Genomic DNA, 8,023 nt, shown 5'->3' on the forward strand with positions numbered 1-8,023 from the left:
TCCATTTTGCTTCAGCCTGTGTCAGTCAATCAGCAAATATCTCTTGAGTATCCTGTCGTGTAAGAAAGGGTCCCAAAGAAAAATAAGAAAGTGCTATCCTTCAAACAGATAACTCACACAGTGGTAGTTCAATAAACATTGTTGAATGAAGGAAGGAAGGAATGAATGAATGAGTCTATCACATTCAAATCCAGGAGTCACCCAAAGTGCAGGCTCCCCTGGGGAAGGTGCAAACTTGGGGGAACAGTAGAACCTGCACAGACATTCATAGCCCGAACTTCTCTTGGTTACAACCATCTGGATAGAATCATAGCTGTGTCCATCTATAACTTCCTGCCAAAGAAATCTAGTACACCACTTTTATCACAATATTGCCTGGTTACTTTTAGTCCATTACAAAACCCTCCAGGACATCATTAAACTTTACCATGGTTAATCAAAGATCTCTGAAAATCTTTTGTTTCCATTGCTAGGTAAGAAGAAAAACTATTTTCCATTGCTAGGCAGGAATAGCATGGCAACCTCCTTGACTTACTGATTTCTAAAAGAGTTAAACTGATTTCTAATACCTCTAGCAGAGTAGCAGCATCTAAGTTTTACCACAATCTTACAGAAACGGCTTCTTATTATTTGTATGCGAATTAAGTAGATAGTGTTGTAAGTATTCCTTACGTGATTTTATCAGTCTTTGATCACCTAACTAAATTGAGCTATATTGCTCAGCTCCCTGGAGGAGAGAGGAAGCAAACAGGTGTTTCTGGTACCATGTTTCTACCCTTAGCTTAGACTCTTGCTCTTTAAGCTCATTGCCTAGACAATATCAAATAATTTTTGAACAAGCCTTTCTTCCTATAAATGTCATCTTATAGATGGACTCTTGCAGCAGCATTATTGAACTTTCCTCTTCGATTTACTAGTACTGGAGAAATCCAAGTTTCTCTGCACTTCTTAGGGATCCCAAAGGCCTAACTTGAGTTCCCATTACCAATTATTTAACTCTTACAAGTAGTTATAGTAATACACACACATGCACGCATGTACACACACACATGCACACACATACAAGCAAATACCAGAGTCCCACAATCAGGGGTGCACTAGAAAGTAATGGAATCTTCGTTACACTCTATGTCCTATTTTGCTGATTTTTTTAAAGGAGGATAAAATAAGCATTTTATTTATTCATTTGGCTTTGATTTAATTAATTATTTATTTATTTATTCATTCGTTTTCTTTACTCAACCAGTGTTTATTAGGTATATGCTCAGTACAAGGAATATAAAAATGAATGAGGCTCAGATCCTACCCTTGAAGAAGAAGAGATCACAGATGATAGAAGATTAAGATATGTAAGCAACTAACTACCATGCAATGTCATGTAAAGCCCGCAGAAGGGCTACATAAAAAGACAGAGGAGTAGTTTTACCAGTTGCTGTAAAAAATAATGACAAATAGAGACCCAGCTGAGCCAGTGTTTAGACGGTTAAAATTCAGGCCATGCTGTATTCTAGAAAACTCCTGCTCATCACTCCACTCACCTCCCCCGACCCTACTTTATCCTCTGTTAACAACATGAGTTGTTTAGGAATCTGCCCATTCCTTTATAGTGAGTCTCTGCTTATACCTGAATTGGTGCACGCCTCCTAGCAGATAAGGGTGCCCCTAGGAATTTGCCCTTTTCTTCTTTGGAGGCCAACTACCAAGCCGCCCAGCAACTGCACAGTTCCCCACAACCACTTAGGGAAAAATGGATCTAGACCCAGTTGGGGCAGAGAAGTTCTTACAGCACTCAGAAAGAACTAGTCATGGATTCAGCCCCAGTGCAGATGAGGAGACAGTATAGTTCAACACTAGAAAACTCTGGCTACATGTCTCAAAGTGGCCCTTAGTTCTTGGCAGGTCCCTGTTAGATAGAAATAGCTTCTCAGAGAGCAAAAGAACCATTTGACATCCATCATAGAAGCATGCATTGGGTAAGCAGGAAACTAAAGTTCACTTACTTATATAACATATACAGGTAGAAATAAACATACAAAAATATATTTAAGACAAGGGATAAAATGAGAAATCAGAGTTTCCCTCACTAGTCCCTACTGCTGAACTCAAAATTCCACTTCCAGTCAGGAGTAGTGGCTCACACCTGAAGTCACAACACTCTGGGAGACCGAGGCGAGTCGATCACCTGAGGTCAGGAGTTCGAGACCAGCCTGGCCAACACGGCAAAACCCCATCTCTACTAAAAAAATACAAAAATTAGCCAGGCATGGTGGCACGTGCCTGTAATCCCAGCTACCCATGAGGCTGAGACAGGAGAGTCACTTGAACCCAGGAGGCGGAGGTTGCAGTGAGCCAAGATCACGCCACTGCACTCCAGCCTGGGCAACAGAGCAAGACTCCATCTAAAAATAAATAAATAAACATCAAGACTAACTGCCTCATTTGGTTGGGTGTGGTGGCTCACGCCTGTAATCCTAGCACTTCGGAAGGCCAAGGCAGGCATATCACCTGTGGTCAGGAGTTCGAGACCAGCCTGGCCAACATGGTGAAACCCCATCTCCACTAAAAATACAAAAATTAGTCAGGCTGGGTGGTACACACCTGTAGTCCCAGCTACTCAGGAGGCTGAGGCACAAGAATCGCTTGTGCCACCAGGAGGTGGAGGTTGCAGTGAGCCAAGATCATGCCACTGTGCTCCAGCCTGGGTAACAAAGCAAGATTCCATCTCAAAAAATAAATAAATAAATACATAAATATTTAAAATTCTACTTCCACTTCTTGTTTTTCTGATGGTTTTTCTTCCTGATTCACTGATGGCTTCCTCTATAACTCTATATTTCCACCTCTGTTTCTTGATTCATTAACCTTAGCTGTGTTGGCTGACTCCCTACTATGAAAGAGAAGGAACTTATACTATTCCTTCTGCTTTTCTCTCTCTTCCTCGTAATTTTTAGTTTTGTTTTTATTTTGAACATTTTTCTTGGTTCCCTTTACAACTTTAGTACACTAAACCATTTATTTTTGGATCCATAAACTTTAGACAGTGTCTCTTGACACCCCACCATGTTAAAATGAATAAATCTCCCCCGACCCCGCATTTCCCTTCACCTCTCTTACCCCCTTGACTTCCCAAATTCTCCCAGATACACAATTACTGAACTTTCACATTGTTATGGCGTAGAACATTTATATTCCTACAGTTAAGCCTTCTGTGTTTGCTTATTGCATGATTTCCCTATGAGGGCGCCCTTGGCATTTTGAAGAGGACAGTTGTGCCTTTGCAGTGAGAACATTTCTCACCTTACTGGATGTTTAGCATCTGTGATTATTGCAACAACCAAAATTATTTCCACACATTTCCAAATGGCCCTAGAGGTGTCATCCTATCCTTGGATGAGAACCATTGGTCTTTAAATTGAATCTGACAATTGAAATTAAAAACCATCCTCACCTGCCATTCATTCTTGCTCCCCTGCAATCTGTCTCTGTCCAGCTGTAGAGTTATCGTGCTGCAACCCTCCTCTGCAGGGACCCTTTGGCTTCCTATTGCTTTTAGAGAAAAGGCATGCTCTAGCATCAGCCACCTCCCCAGGTTTACGTCTTGCATTTTCCATTCTAATCACACTGAGCAATCAGTTCCTGGGACACACTCTGCTCTCTCCTACCTTAGATTATTGCATTCCCTGTTGCCTCTGCCTACACTCTTCTTATTTAGATCTCAGCTTAAACATCACTTCCTCAGAGAATCCTTCTCTGACCCCACTCTCCACTTCTATCCAGCATGGCCAGGTTAGGGTTCCCTGGCATCCTATGCTTCCCCTCCATCATCTTGGAGACAGCATAACATAGTGATTAGGAGAACAGACACAGCAATCTCTCTAGTTTTAAACCCCAAGTCTGCCACTTACTAGCTTTGCAATCAGAGTCAGTTTTCTTAATTTCTCTCTTAATTTTCCATCTGGGACCAAAAACCTAGCAATATACTTGGCACTCAGTTGATGCTCAATAATTGTCTGTTGACTGATTGCCACATTCTGACTTTTGAGCAGGGGTTATTCACCCTTATTAAAATCACCTAGGGAGGGCCAGGCATGGTGGCTCACAACTGTAATCCCAGCACTTTGGGAGGCCGAGACAGGCATATCATCTGAGGTCAGGAGTTGGAGACCAGCCTAGCCAACATGGTAATAGCCCGTCTCTACTTAAAAATATTTTAAAGGCCAGGCGCGGTGGCTCACGCCTGTAATCCCAGCACTTTGGGAGGCCGAGGCGGGCGGATCATGAGGTCAGGAGATCGAGACCATCCTGGCTAACATGGTGAAACCCCGTGTCTACTAAAAATACAAAAAATTAGCCGGGCGTGGTGGCAAGCACCTGTAGTCCCAGCTACTCAGGAGGCTGAGGCAGGAGAATGGCGTGAACCCGGGAGGTGGAGCTTGCAGTGAGCCGAGATTGCGCCACTGCACTCCAGCCTGGGCAACAGAGCAAGACTCTGTCTCAAAAAAAAAAAAAAAAATTTTTTTTTTTTTTTATTAGCCAGGCATGGTGGTGCAAGCCTATAGTCCCAGCTACTCTGGAGGCTGAGGCAGGAGAATTGCTTGAACCCAGGAGGTGGATGGAGGTTTCAGTGAGCCAAGATTTGCACTCCAGCCTGGGTGACAGAGCAAGACCCCATCTCAAAAAAAAAAAAAAAAAAGAAATTATAAAGCTGTGGAGCTTTATAATGCTGATGTCCAAGTGTTACCTCAAACCAGGGAAAGCAGACCCTGAGATGGAGACTTACTTGCAGGAAGTTTATGAGGGTTGCTCTTGGGATCACCACTGAAGGAAAGGAAGGAAAGGAAGCAGGATCAGGCAGGGGAAGCTGTCGGGCTGCAGTGCATTCTCAAGGAAGGCCTCAGCTGACCTACAGGGAGCTCTGAAACTGGTGTGGCCTTTCAGAGTTGTCCTGTTTCAGAGCAATGTTGTCTTTATAGTCCCATATTGATTGGTCATTGGATGCTGGCTACCTCAGGAAGAGGGTATTGCCTTGAAATGCCGAGCAACTTTCCACAGATTATTAACAAGCCGAGTGCTGTCCACTGGCTACACTTTCAGCAACTGGGAGAATAAGCCCTTCATTCCTGAAGGATCAGTTGGGCGGTGCATCTACTATACTGATTAGGTCAGAATCTTTTGGTGTGGGGCCTGGGAATCAGTATTTTATAAAGTGCACCAGGGTATTGTAACATCCAACATAGAGAACTATTGCTCTGAATAACCACAATAAAAGCAAAAAAGAAGAGAGCAATAAGAAAGACCGTGTATTTCAGGCTCATATGCAGCTGAGCTGCACTGAAACCAGGCATGGTAGCCCAGCAGATTTTGTGGTAGCCAAAGGCCTGTGCAAGGATATGTCTGTGTAGTGCCCCTGCCCAGGTCCCCCACCCTGAAGTGCTGGGAGACGTTCCTGTGACCATACAGCTGGGCAGCAACAGAGTTAGATGAATGGTCTTCCTGCCCCTAGGTAGCTTTTTCATTGTGAGTGACTCAGAAAGCTGGAGTCAGATCAGTAGTCCTCATGTGTACCCTGTAAGCCAGGAACCCCTGTCAAGGCTTCAGAGATCAAGAGTTTTCCAGAGCTATGACACCCAAACCTACGCTACTGTTTTCCACATGTGGTTTCTGTCCACAGAGAGTACATGTTTCTCCAAAATTCTTGCCATTGAGAAAGGAGTTTTAAGTCACAGAGCACCCAAATAAGCATACGGCCAACACTTGTCAGGTGTCACAGTCTGTCTGGAAGCTTCATATTGGCTGTTGTGGGTGGTTTAATAACTCAGTATTGACTTTACTTCCAAACTGATGACAGTTTAACAGATTTTTCTGAGCCTATTGAGCTTAGCATACATTTTGTATTAGTTGGAATTTCTAATGACTGAGTCCTGAAATGAACTTGCTGGAACTTCTAGAAGGTTCAGAGTTCAACCTGGGTCAGAACAAGGCACAAGCTGGCTGTTTATCAAGTACCTACTTTGTGCTGGGCAGCACATGCTCTCTTGTTCAGTCCTTAATACGCTACAGTAACACCAAATTTAGGTGAAGAAACTGAAGTTTCAGGAAATTTAAATAGTTTGATTCTTCCTGTTTCCTTGCCACTTTTCCCTAAATTCCAGACGAAACCCTTCAGTGACACCCCTAAAATTCATCTCAAACATGTCTACTTCTCTCTCTCCAGCCACCACCCTAGTCTAAGCCACCATCATTTCTTACTTAAATGACTTCAATATCTTCGTAGCTGGATCTTCTCTTCCATCTTACTCTCTCTATACTCCAGAGAGAGACAGAGAGACGCAGCAGCCAGAATCATTTCTTTGAAACAGGAATCAAATCTTGGACCTCCCCTGCGTGAAACTGTTCTATGGCCTTCAGAATAAAGCTTCATCCCATACTGTGGTTTTTGAGGTCCTGCACAGTTGGATCACTGCCCACTTTGCTGGCTTCATCTGCCTTCATTCTGCCACATTCATAGAGTCCCACAGTCCACATAGTTACGTGGGCCTTCTCTCTGTTCCTTGAGTCCCAAGGCCTTTCCTAGCCCAGGGCCAGTGCTCTGCACAGGGGGTGCCTCCTGCCCTAGCCATTCCCATATCAAGCTGGCTCCCATGCTTTTGTCCCAGGTCAAGTGCTTCCTCTCAGAAAGGAACATTCCTGACTGCCGCCCAGTTTATAACCACTTTCCTCATACCCAGATTACTCCCCATTAGTTTGCCCAGTTTATTTTGTGTATAACATCCAAATCTGAAATGATCTCATTTGTTTATTTGTTACTTGTTTATTGTCCATCTCTTTTCCTGTGAAAATACAGCCTTCATGAGGACAGGGACCTTGTCGGTCTTGTTCATCTCTGTATCCACAGCATCTAGCACTGTGCCCTGGTGCAAAGTAGGTCATCAGTAAAATTCTGTTCAATAAATTTTGTTTGGTACGTATGTGGTCAATGAATGAATAAAAGAATGAGTGGGTGGACTTTCTAGGGTTGGGAAGTGGCAGAGCTGGGGTCTGAATCATGGTCTAGTCAACTTTGAAGCCTGCCTTTTAGTGCAGGGTATCTTTGGGTGGTCAAGGTCTCTCTCCAATCTTAGGGAAGGCCTGTTCTTGCGCACCTGGAGAAAATGAGGCTCTTCAAGCCTGCCTTGGGGTGTAGGCACCTTTTGTTATTTAATTCTCACAGTACTCCTGTGAGGGAAGTAAAGTATTTCTTTTCAGTGTCCTTGACATTTTAGAATGCAGTCTAGCTTAAGGTCCCCCAGATGATCTAGTAGAAATGAATGCCTAAACTGAGAGCCTGGCACACATGTGTCACCTGCCTATGCTTTTTGTGACCTCTGAACCCATTCTAAAGCATGTCAGGTGTGTTCTTGAGGGCCCAACTCAAAGACAGTACGTGCCTTCATGAACATTATTTCCACCTCTCAGTGAGTTGTCACATGTGACCAGAGCTGAGGTGAGTGAGCAGCAGCCCGCACAGAACTGTAAAGAAGTCCAGCCTTTCAGCTTCTCTCCAGTTATTTCCCTCACTCCTGATGCCTGCCTTCTGCCTCCCCTGTGCCTTTCTGATGGCCTCCCACTCTGGATGTTGCTTTACCTTGCTTTCTCCTATTTGCAGTTATCCAACCTGTTTTAAGGACAATGGGCTGCTTATTAATAACCCCTTGCTGTCTTCCCTGGGTAGTTTAATCTTTGGCAGAAACTATAGGGATGAAGCAACGCTAAGAGTTTCCCTCAGACCATTCTAGCAAAGTAGCCTTATGGACAGATTCTGTGAGATATTATCACAGCCTCCAACAACAGAGGCTAGGCTGTTGTTGAACACTCTCCAGCACTTCATTTGATGCCACAGCTCCCTAGGAAGGAAAGCAGTCCAGCGCCATTTAACAGATGAGGAATGCTCAGGCAGAAAATTAAGGACATTGTTCAGCATTACACAGCTATTAAGTGGCTGAACTGAGAAGCAGATCCAGGTCTTTTTGACTCCAGAATTGAT

The 8,023-nt window shown here is 43.9% G+C and overlaps 1 protein-coding gene across 3 annotated transcripts in view; it reads left to right on the forward strand.

Annotated features, from left to right (window-relative positions):
• MAMDC2 (MAM domain containing 2) overlaps nt 1–8,023 on the forward strand; it is a 183,392-nt gene that overhangs the window by 100,952 nt on the left and 74,417 nt on the right. The gene's annotated exons all lie outside the window — the stretch shown is intronic.

The sequence above is a fragment of the Homo sapiens genome, chromosome 9 (genome assembly GCF_000001405.40).
Source record: "Homo sapiens chromosome 9, GRCh38.p14 Primary Assembly".
NCBI lineage: Eukaryota > Metazoa > Chordata > Mammalia > Primates > Hominidae > Homo > Homo sapiens.